The sequence below is a fragment of the Homo sapiens genome, chromosome Y, assembly GCF_000001405.40.
Source record: "Homo sapiens chromosome Y, GRCh38.p14 Primary Assembly".
Lineage (NCBI taxonomy): Eukaryota > Metazoa > Chordata > Mammalia > Primates > Hominidae > Homo > Homo sapiens.
Window position 1 is genome coordinate 9,368,979 of NC_000024.10, and position 12,263 is coordinate 9,381,241.

Sequence of the window (12,263 nt, forward strand, 5' to 3'; positions counted from 1 at the left end):
ATGGAAACGTGGCTGGACGTCTCAAAATCTCTTCTCATTAATTACCATTATGTTAATCACTGTTGCCCACAACTGGAATTGGACTTTGAAATCCCCTGGTGGAAATTGCTATAATGGCTCAAACTACTGGAAAGACTATCTTTTTTTACCTGAAAATATCTGATGAGCATAGACGTATGCTATATACAGGAAGATATTGTACATTAACAACATACCATCACTGCCACTCAATAATAGGTATCCCAAACCTTTGAGCCAAACTGAGCTCAGGTGCTCCCACAAACCAAGCTTTTCCCTCCACAGATTTCTTATGTCAAAAAGCCACAACTCCAGGCCAGGCTTCGTGGCTCTTGTTGTAATTTCTACATTTTGGGAGGCCGAGGTTGGTGGGTCACTTGAGGTCAGGAGTTGGAGACTAGCATGGGCAACATGGCAAAAAGCTGTCTCTACCAAAAATACAAAAATTAGCCAGACCTAGTGGCACTTTCCTGTGGTCCCAGCTACTTGGGAGGCTGAGGTAGGAGAACCACCTGAACATGGGTGGCAGAGATTGTATAGTAAGCCGAGATCAGACTACTGCACTCCAGCCTGGATGACACAGCGAGACCATGAAAAAAAAAATAAAGGCAACTCCACTCGTCCACTGGCTTAGGTAAAAAATACTGGAGTTGGCTGGGCTCGGTGGCTCACACCTGTATTCCCAGCACTTTGGATTTTGGGAAGCTGAGTCGGGCGGGTCACCTGAGATCTGTAGTAGGAGAGCAGCCTGGCCAACATGGTGAAGCCTGGCTTCTACTAAAAATACAAAACATTAGCTGAGCGTGGTGATGCATGCTTGTAATCCCAGCTACTGCAGAGGCTGAACCTGGGAGGCGGAGGATGTGTTGAGCTGAGATCCTGCCACTGCGCTCCAGCCTGGTCTACAGAGCGAGAGTACCCTGTGAGAAACAAAGGTGAAGAGAACAAGAAAAAAAAATGAGAAAAATAAGACCCACTGCAAAAGGTTGCCACAGAAAAGATTAAACATTTCAGCAACTTCTATCTTCTATCATGGAAGCCAAGGTTATTTGGACCAAACCTCCTGTCTTAGTTCATTTTCACGCTGCTGAAGAAGAGATACCTGAAACTGGGAATAAAAGGAGGTTTAATTGGACTGACAGTTCCACATGGCTGTGGAGGCCTCAGAATCATGGTATACGAATAAAGGCACTTCTTACATGGCAATGCCAAGAGAGAATGAGGAAGAACCTGAGGCAGAAACCCCTGAAAAACCCATCAGATCCCGTGAGACTTCTTCACTGTCACAAGAATAGCATGAGAAAGACCGACCCCCATGATTCAATTACCTCCCCCTGGGTCCCACCCGCAACACGAGGGAATTCTGGGAGATACAATTGAAGCTGAGATTTGAATGGAGACACACCAAACCATGTCACTTCCCAAACAATTAAAAATTCCCAATAGAAGAAGCATTAATTATATCAAAAAGTGGTGGACCAAGAAGGAACTATTAGCCTCATATCTCAAGAAAGACTCCAGTCAAGGCCTAGGGACTACTCATGAAAAGAGTTTAATAGCCGACTCTCTCCCAGTGGATCTGGATTCCACCGGACTGTATCTTCACAGTAAGGGTGAAACAGAAGCAAACCCATTCCTATTTCCAAGCTCAAGGAACTTTGGTCAAAGTTCTCTTGGAGCTGAGCAGAACAAGGAGGCAAACAGAAAAGATTTGTGTCCCTGAGAAGTCATGGCCACAGGCTGGCTATCACACAGATTGTCAAGCCAGTTCCATATTGCATGGGTATTACAGAAAATCTCAAAACATAAATTTGTGTGTGGGTTGTCCCAGAGTAGCAGGATCTGGCAGAAGGAAATTTCCTTCTAACCCTCAAAGAATCCACATAAATCTTGTTACATTTGGGATTTTACGATTTGCTTCAGGAATGAGAATGGCCTTAATTTTCATATCTTTTTCTACACTCAGTTTATGGCTTGTTGGCGTCAAAGTTCTGCTTGCTTCACACAATGAGTTTAGGATTTTCCCTTTTTTATTCTATAGAATTCTTCATATATATTGAAATGCTCTGCCTGGGGAAAAAAATCTGAGCCTAGCGTTTTATCTCTAGGAAGAATCCTTTATTTCCTTGAACATTTATGAGACTATACAGATTATATATGTCTTCTTGTATCAATTTTACTAAGCTATATACATAGCTTATGTTTATATATTATATATATAAATGTAAGATACAAATATAAAAATTATGTATAAATATGAAAATATATATAGAAAGCGATATATATGTCTATATATATAGACAGATTATAAATATCTGTCTATTTGATCTAAGTTTTCAAATTTGTAGGTTAAGGTGTTAATGATATTTCCTTATTAGCTTCTTAATCTATGCTGTATCTATGGTTGTGTACCTTTTAAATTCTTAGTTTTATCTATGTTTTCTCCCTTTTTTTCTAAACTTGACTGACGGTTGCATCATTTATTATATTTCTCCAACAAGCAAAGGTTAGCTTTGTATGTTTTACTAATTTTGTCTACATCATTATTCCCACACTTTAGTTTTTCAGAATTGATTCTGTTGTTTCTTTTCTAATTCTTTATTGAAATATCTAGTACATTAATTTTCAAGTTATTAGAGAAATATTTGTCTGTAAACTCCTATTGTAATATCACTTTTCTTGCTACTCACAGATTTAATCTTTAATATTGGCGGTATCATTGAGTTCTAAGTACATTTCAATTCCTAGTATGATAATCTATGAATTGCTGAGAAATAGTGTTTACAATTTTGTTGTTCTATTTCCACTTAAGTTTATTTTTACTTCTGCTAACTCAATTGAAAATTCTTTACTAATTTTTAAAATCCTTGAACCCAAGAGATGGAGGTTGCAGTGAGCTGAGATCAGGCCACTGCATTCCAGACTGAGTGACAGAGTGGAACGAGATTTCAAAACAAAACAAAACAAAACAAAACAAAACAGTCACTGGAAAGATAATAAAATACATAAATGTGGGATGTAATATGTAATCGTGATAAAATAAACTGGATTTTTTGTATAAGTTATACATATAAATGTAATGCCAAGACACTGATAAGACAACTCATGGTCTTATCTCAATACTTAGTGTCTTCATGTAACATATGTCCTTTAGGATAGTTATAGTCCGTTTTCTTTCCAGGAGAGACAGATGAGAATGCAGAAATGTTAAAGTGCAAGGGACGGAAGCTTCCAGCTGTGCCCACCTGTAACCTGACGTAGACAGTTCCACCGTTTGCTTCATTAATCATGCCAAAGGCTCTAATGCAAATGTGGTACAGAGTCACATGTTTTTGTATCTACATGATAGAAACTATAACTTCATCCCTATATAGAAGGGTATATAGCATATGCCTCAGTGATAAATATAAGTGAATCATTGATCAGTAGGAAACCATTTTAAAAGTCTTTCATAACAGAACAAAATCCCTGAAAACATTTTCTTCTCAATCTCTGAGTTTTCTTACACGGCTTATGAATCTCTAGCCATACTAAAGAGATAGTATGCTGCTCTTCCCACAAATTATTCATTGTATATAATTCCTGTAATCTAATAACAGTACCTTTACACCTCAGGGTTTAAAATGACTCCAACCTTTTTCTGTTTCTCCAATTAAAATAACTTTTTTAAGGTTTAATCTTCAGTAATTTTTTGTAGTAATATTTTTGAAGGTATTTGACCAGGATGATTTGCTTATATACCTACCTGACGTCTCCCTTTCTTCTGAATACATATTTTATTACCCACCTATTAGATCTAAGTTTAAGAAGTTGGAATAGGGATTTAAATCTAAATTCTACATTTGAATTTACAGGAGTCAGCGAGTCCGGGAAGTGCCTTTATGCACAGACCAATATCTGGCAATGGCACTAGGAGACAAATAAGCTTTACCAGTCTCAAAGCCCTGGCTACTACAGTGAATCCACCCTTCTCCTGGATCTTATCTACTTCAGCAAAAGAAGGCCACCCACTAAACCAGGCCCTTGTACTTTGGGTGGAAACTCCTAAGTCCTCTAGTCTCCTCAAACAGACAGCCAGGCTGCCAATTTCCACAATAATAATTTCTATAGCACTGAGTCTTTGGTAGCCTTGTAACTATAGCTACTGATGCTACAGTCTGGTCCCTGTATGATAAAACACCAGAGCAACAGAAACAAAAATATTGACTGAAGCCTTCTAAAATCTCTCTAAATATACCTTCAATAAATATGGTTTTTTTTACAGAACGACTGCTTTCAGCTTCCTGAACTAACGCTTGGCCTTCGCTAGTTGTCACTGTTGAAATTGATTCAAAAGTGTACATTTAACATGAAAGTCAACACAGAATTTCATGTGTCAGCAACTAAAATTTTCAAAATGTTGCAAAATACAAATGTGAAACTGTATTTGTGAAATTTACCATTCATTGAAATTATATTTTCATACCTACCCAGGCACAGAATTTTTTATAACTGTCTGCATGTTCTCCTCATGTGGGGGAAAAGCAGCATCAGCAGGCAGAGGAATCCTTTGAAGCTGGAGGGAGAGGTTGCAGTGATCTGAGAGTTTGCCACTTGACTGCAGCCTGGATGACACAGTGAGACTCCAACTGAAAAGAAACAAACACACACACACACACACACACACACACACACACACCCCCAAAATTGATAAGTAAAAAAAAAATCCATATTCGAAAACATGCTCACAGGCTAACTCCCATATCTAACACACACACACACACACACACACACACACACACACACACACACAATTCCTTGAAAACGAAAGTTCCACAAGGGCAAAAGAAGAAAACAAATTTAACACCCCCCAAAGAAAGTACAAAGAGTAACCTCAAAAGAACTGCAGGGGAAAACAATTCAAAATTTACAAGTATCTACCCTAAAAGAAGCTGAAAGTCCCTCAAAAACTTTCCAGAGGCCATGTCCTTGTATTACAAAAATGATCATAAAAACTGGCAGGAGTAGACGAATAGAAATGCATCTTAAAACTTGCTAAACCCTTCAAGTCTCCCATAAGAATTGTAATGGAAAATGGATCGGTCGGCAGCTTTTTCCATACAATTATGAACAAATTATATTTCTTCATACATAGATTTGTTTTTTCAATATTCTAAGGAATTAACTTTTATATTAATAGTAGGTGATGTAAGAAAGCAGGCCTTTATCAAGATAACTGACACTGGATGTCCATACCATTACTCAGGTGGGCCTTAATTCCCAGCCGGGTTCCCTCCCTGGACACACACTGAAGGTCCCCAGCCATTTGGCAATCTCTTCACATTCCCAGCCCTGGAGGTAGCCCTAAAATACATGTACCTGAAGAAAATAAAACATTGCCTCACACTGGAGCCCAGTGTGGTCCTCCAGATTCCGTGTGAGGTGGACTAACTTATATGGGAAGGCAGGGCAGCGGGAGTGAGGATGGCAGAGAGGATTACACATGTCAAGGCAGCCGGGGTCATGGAAACAAAACATGACTGGCCTGGGAGAAACACTGTGAAAGGACACAGACCTAGGTGGGCCTCAGGTGGACATCCTCGTGGAGAAAAAGGGGGCCCTGGTTGATCTCAAAATGAGCCCCAGGTGGTAGCAGGTCTTACCGCAGGGCAGGGAGCTGGCGAGTAATGATGAGACAGCTATCCCTTAAGCCCTGCTTGTCACCCACTGACTTTAGCCACATATGCATCATAGTGGCTTAAGGTGCCCCGATCCTGAAATGTGGGTGTTACATGTCCCTGATGGGCCTCTCTCCCCCAACCCACGGATTGCCTGGGATTGCTCACTGCAGTCTCCTCCCGGATCCTTGGGTTCTCCATGTGGGGCCCAGATCCAGGTCAAAAGGCCTCTCAGTTCCCAGCCCTTCCCAGCCCTAGGCTGCTCGCCTGGCCTCCTCTCTGTTCCGCCTCTAGGGCTGACCCTCTCTCCATGGGATAGAACTGCAATGGATTGAGCCATAGGCCCTGGCTGATGATCTAGGGGACTGCAGAAGTGGGTCCAGGACAGTTCAGGTGACAGTTCAAAGCCAATTCCCCAGAGACCAAGGAATGACCAGCTAGGTCCTTTCCCATGATGCCCCACGGCGAACCCCACCTCAGCAATCCTGCCAAAACCCGGGCAGTCATGTTCAGCCAAACAGCTGAATGAGCTCAGGTAGGAGGTGTACTGCCTGCAGCTGGAGGCTTGACCTTCGTGATCCCAGAACCGCTGGACTGCAGTGGAATGAGACACCCTGTAGCCTGCAGGGAGAGGAGTCAGGAAGGTTCATGCCAGTCCCACCCTCCCACACACCAGCTCCCCTACCATGCTGGGAGGCATTCCTTACCGAGGATGCCAACACAGTGCTCCTTCATGATGATTTCACTGTGGAAATAAAGGTTGGGATGAAAGGAAATCATCCTGCCACCGGTAACCGGGATGGCTGAGTTCCTCCACCTGCCGGATCAAGGAGAAAGAGGATGGATTCAATGGGACCATCTCAACTAGCCGGGCTGAGGTGGCCTACTAGCTGTAGTGAACCATGAGTTTCCCCTTCCCAGCTCTCCCACTGAGACAACCCTGGTCCCCAGGGGGACCTCAAACTGACTCAGACACTGGACTCCTCCCACAGACCCAGGCTCCCCAGCCTGACCTGCAAATCCATCACGTAGCAAAGCAGGACTTCCGCATGCTTTCCGACCCACGCCGACATCTCGTGTGCCAAACAATCTACCTCTGCGCAAGAACTCTCCAGAGGATTGGGTGGGCAAGCCTCGTGACGCCTTGCAATTTCGCAAGAACACAGACAATGTGGAACAGGGCCATCTCCCAGACATTTGGCCAGTCACCCTTCATTGTTGGCCCTCTATCTCTGTCTGGCGAGGAGGCAACGCCACAACTGTGGTGGTTTTTGGAGTGGGTGGACCCCGGCCAAGACGGCCTGGGCTGACCAGAGACGGGAGGCAGAAAAAGTGGGCAGGTGGTTGCAGCTGAGGGACGGGAGGGACCGGGGGTGGTGTGAGGCGGCTGCTTCTCTGAGTTTCTGAGATGCAGGAGGCCTTTGTGTGCTGGGTGCTGGACATGCTCCGCTGATGTCCGGGTGTGTGGTGTCCTCTTATCCTAGTCTCCCTGAGGGGTGGGCCTGTCCACCTGAGGGAAGCCTTGTAGTTAGAAGCCACAGCAGGGTCGTGCCTGGCGCTCTCCAAGGGAATTGCGTGGGTCCAGAGGAAGTTATACAGGCTCAGGGCCTACACGCCTTTGAGTGCAGCGCCTGCAGTTGGATGAATGCGCATCTGCGGAGCTGGTGCCCGCCGTCAGGTGGTCGGCAGCCCCATGCGCCGCGAACCCGTCTTAAGCACCTTGTGTTTCTGGGGTGAGCCTGCTGGAAACAGGCACCGAGAGCAGGGGTGGTTCAATGGCTGGTAATGGCATACAGATTCCCCGTCCTCCAGGGACGTTCCCAGGGAAACGCGTCCTTCGAATTTGGGCTGTGCGCAAAGGGACCTTGGCGCCGCGATTCTCCCTTGTCAGTGCTGGCCCTGGCTCCCCTTCCCTACCACGTGCTCCCAGGGCTGCTACAAGCGAGCTGCCCTCACAGCTGCGGGAACGTGGCCTCGGCTCCCACGCTGTGCCCCATCCCCTGCCTCCTGGCTGACCCCACGTGCCTCCCACCTGGCTCCTCCCCCCAAACAGCCCCCATACCCCCCGAGGCCCGATGACTATCCCCTGCTGCCCGCCATCCCAAATCGGCAGCCGCAAGGATATGGCTCTGGCTCACAAGGCGGAGATGCTCTGTGGCCTGGGGCATTCACGGAGCCCAGCTCCAAGTGAAGGACCTCCAGTGAGTCCATTGACGGCCCCGGTGTGCTCGGTCCAGGGCCAGGCTGTGCCCGCTGGCCCTCCTTCTGCCACCCCACGTCGGGCTCCACCTCAACCACCACCTCCACCTCAGCCATGATGTCTTCCACCTTCAGCACCGCCTCCTCTTCCAAGGCCGCCTCCTTGCTCTGTACCCCGGCCGTCCTCTCCAGCATTGCCTCCAGCCTGAACACGGTTTTCTCCTGGGTGCTCCCACAGACCCTGGGCCTGCGCAGCCCAGCCCAGCCCAGCCCATGCCCCGCACCCGTAGGCTCTGGGGGCCCGCTCCCCAGCAGACCCGCTCCCTGCAAGACCCACGGGCGTCGCCCTGCTGTGAACCTGGTCCCACACCTACGTGGACCCAGGTTTCCTGAGGAGCTCCGCTGGACCCGCAGATCCCGCACTGGCCAAAGGGCTCCGGTCCCCAGCAGGCTCAACTGCGCACAGGAGCTCGGGAGCCAGAGGCCCCGGCCCTGGGCTTGCAGAGCCCCACCAACAGGCACCGCAACCGCTGCTGCGGGTGCGGGAGCCTCTGGGTCGTCAAGGCAGCGCACAACAGCGTGTGTGCAGGCCGACAATGGCCAACCCTGGCGGCTGGCCTCTGGTGTGCCCAGGGCATAGGACAAGAGGCCCTTTGGAATGCTCCTTGGAGTACAGCATCCTCAGGGAGGAAGCATGGTACTCGGAGCCTCTATTTGCCTCGACCTGTGAGAGTGTGTGCCGGGGCTCTGGCCTCTACAGCAGATCAATTCCACCTCAGCACCGGCAGGCGACTTTCCTCCCACGTGCCCGCCCCGATCACTTCCCCCAGGACACCCCTGCCGCCCTAGCCCCAGCAACCAGAGAGAGTTCTCTGCATCTTCTGTATTACCTCCGTACCATCTACCTGGCCTGCCTAACGAAGAGAGATGTTTCCTGTGTTCATGACACATAGAGATGTTCATGGCTTGCCACACTGAGGATGTCAGGGCACAGGGCTGCCATGCCCACAATTCCAAAGGCCACGCAGCCCGCGTGTGCCCGGATGCCTAGCTACCCGGCACAAGCTCCAAGGGCTTCTCGGAGGAGGCTTGGGCAGGGAAGGCGGGGGGGTGGGGGGGCTGGAGATGCAGGCCCGCCAGTGGCTGTGCCGCCCAGGGAGACGCCCACCGCCCTCCCATTGACTGGCCACGACGGGAGGAAGTCGGCCTGGGTGCGGCCCCCCGGCCCTTCGCGCGCAGTCCCTTAGGGGGCGCCTGGAAGCCCGGCGCATGCGCCCTGAGGGCTCGCTGACCTACCGGGTGCCAGAGAGGCTGCGGCAGGGTTTCTGTGGCGTGGGTCGGGCAGCACAGGCCTTGGTGTGTGCGAGTGCCAAGGAGGGCACCGCCTTCAGGATGGAGGCTGTGCAGGAGGGGGCGGCCGGGGTGGAGAGTGAGCAGGCGGCTTTGGGGGAGGAGGCGGTGCTGCTGTTGGATGACATAATGGCGGAGGTGGAGGTGGTGGCGGAGGAGGAGGGCCTCGTGGAGCGGCGGGAGGAGGCCCAGCGGGCACAGCAGGCTGTGCCTGGCCCTGGGCCCATGACCCCAGAGTCTGCACTGGAGGAGCTGCTGGCCGTTCAGGTGGAGCTGGAGCCGGTTAATGCCCAAGCCAGGAAGGCCTTTTCTCGGCAGCGGGAAAAGATGGAGCGGAGCGCAAGCCCCACCTAGACCGCAGAGGCGCCGTCATCCAGAGCGTCCCTGGCTTCTGGGCCAATGTTGTATCCTTCTCAGTGTTTCTTCGGCCTTTCTAGTGGAGAGGTGCTCTCGGGGAAGTGTAAGTGACCGATGGGCAGCTCGGCGTCGATGTGACTCTTTGGGGAACAAAGGGGAGTTGCCACGGACCAGTGTGGCTGTGGAAAGCCGGAGCAGGCGTGGGTACTATTGTCCTGCATGCGGCAGAGAAACCCTTGGTGATGCCGAGCAGCAGACGTTTGGGGCATCTTTTTGAAGAGCAGAAGCGAGTTCAGAGCGGAAGAGGTTTTTCAGTGAATAAAGCTATTTTTAAGGGAGTGTGATTGCTGCCCCTTGCTAGTCCGATCTGGGACTGGGCGTCTTCGGCTATAAGCAGATTCTGCCACTCCTCAGACACCAGCAAGTCTCTGCAAATCGCGCCTCCCCATGTCAGTGCAGTCAGCCTCAGAATCATACACCCTCTGTGAACACAGGAGGCCTTAGTTTACGGGGAGGGGGAGGCGAAAGGAGATCATACATGGAAGCAGATCTGAGAAATCCCCTACCCCAGCCTCTGGGTGCTCTTAGGCCTTCTTCCCTGTTGCTCCTCGCTTTCCCTTCCATCGTGTGTAAAGTCTCTTTGACCTAAATCAGATTGCAAACCACCCCCAGATGTCAGCCCTGATCACTGACGAAGATGAAGACATGCTGAGCTACATGGTCAGCCTGGAGGTGAGGCCAGGAAGACTGGGGCTAGAGGGTTTAGCGGGGGAGGGTAAGGGAAATAATTCATTCCTGTAAGCAAGAGTGAGCACCTCACCCGAAAACCTATCTAAGCTTTCTCCACCTTGTCCTGACAGGTGGAAGAAGAGAAGCATCCTGTTCATCTCTGCAAGATCATGTTGTTCTTTCGGAGTAACCCCTACTTCCAGAATAAAGTGATTACCAAGGAATATCTGGTGAACATCACAGGTGACAGGTGGCTCCCAGGATGGGTAGTGGAAGGAAGATGGTGGGTGGATCATTGCCAACGGGATCCAGCCCCCTTCCCACAAAAACTCCTGTCTCTGTAGAATACAGGGCTTCTCATTCCACTCCAATTGAGTGGTATCCGGATTATGAAGTGGAGGCCTATCGCCGCAGACACCACAACAGCAGCCTTAACTTCTTCAACTGGTTCTCTGACCACAACTTCGCAGGATCTAACAAGATTGCTGAGGTGAGTCCTCACTGGGAAACATGAGGAATGACCCCGTGTGTTCCCAGCTGCTTGGGTCACCTTTCTGAGCCCTGATGAGGCCTTTCCCGATTGAGTCCCCTGACAGATCCTATGTAAGGACCTGTGGCGCAATCCCCTGCAATACTACAAGAGGATGAAGCCACCTGAAGAGGGAACAGAGACGTCAGGTGAGCCGTTAGTTGGCACTGGAGCTGTTTGATGCCCAGTATAAGGGGGTTGACACACCTGCCTATTCAGGGAGCCTGGGTGCTCATTTCAGAAATGTAGAAATTGAGGCTCCTTTCGTACATGTAGAAATTCCTTGAGAGGAAGACAGAGAGTGACAGAATCCAGGACGTTCATGGCATTGGGCTGAAAAGGCACGTTAGAGACTGCACTGCAAAGCGGGTGATAGCTGTGGAGTCTTAAGCCCAGTGAAGAATCGTCCATTTCCAGAATCAATGAGAAGTAAAGCTGAAAATCATTCAGTTCAGTCTGTGGCACTTGATTCCACGGCTGTCAACCCCACCGGCAGTCATCCCGCCAACCCCATGAGATTGGGCTCCCTGAATGTGCGTCCTGGTCATCCTTGCCCCAAACCACAAAGGACTGTTTAGATTGATGGATTTCCTTAAGCTGTTGCCCCATCAGACTTGTGTGTGCTTTTAGGGCCCAGTGCATCTTGTTAGCTGACTCCCCTCACAGACAATACTGGGAATGGGGCAGGGATTGCGCAGAACAGTTTGTAACACGTGGTAGGAGGAAGTTTAAGGGATCACAAATGGGGAAGGGATATCCTTTTCTCAGCGGGCCCCACAATTGAAACATTTCAAAGTATGGCTCAGAGAAAATGCGTTTTAACATGAGTTTGTGTTTCTCTAGGGGACTCCCAGTTGTTGAGTTGAATATGATGGAGCATCAGATTTTACCTAATACAGCAGAACTCCTAAAAAGTTACAGCCATATGCAGGACGGCAGTACTCAGCATGGTCTTATGCACAGGAACTAAAGGAAAAAGAGATCGAGTCACAAAAATTCAGGAAGAGGGGGTAAATGTGGATTGTATGGAATGAAAAATAAACATTCTCAAGGATGTGTGACTCTGTGTCTGTGTGTGTGTGTGTGTCTTTGTGTTTGTGTGTGTGTGTGTGTGTGTGTGTATGTTTATCCACTTTATTCGGGTGTCATAATGAATTGATCAATCCACGTGCTTTATTCTCTTCATGGAAATAACCAGTCTGCGTTGGAGCTGGGCCTCTAAAGTTGTAGAGTGAATGGGTGTGGGATGTGTTGGGATTCTTCCTACAGGACAGAGTGGGAGAGGTAAAAGCAAAAGACAGCTTAGTTGGAGGCTGACTTCGTCCTGTGGAAGCAGAGATAGTTCAAGGAAAGGGGTTACTGGGTTTCCAGGGCCCAGTTTGCTGGGACCTCCAAAATCCTTCATTTTGGGTATCATCATACAC

At 48.8% G+C, this 12,263-nt stretch overlaps 1 long non-coding RNA gene and 1 pseudogene across 1 annotated transcript; one reads left to right on the forward strand and one right to left on the reverse strand.

Annotated features, from left to right (window-relative positions):
* Positions 1-878: 878 nt before the first annotated feature.
* On the reverse strand, positions 879-6,484 carry FAM197Y7 (family with sequence similarity 197 Y-linked member 7). The gene is made up of 4 exons (NR_145460.2): positions 6,383-6,484; positions 6,151-6,296; positions 4,488-4,646; positions 879-938 (listed from the first exon to the last, which is right to left on the reverse strand). It is a non-coding gene; the product is annotated as a family with sequence similarity 197 Y-linked member 7 (long non-coding RNA).
* On the forward strand, positions 9,098-11,893 carry TSPY7P (testis specific protein Y-linked 7, pseudogene; annotated as a pseudogene).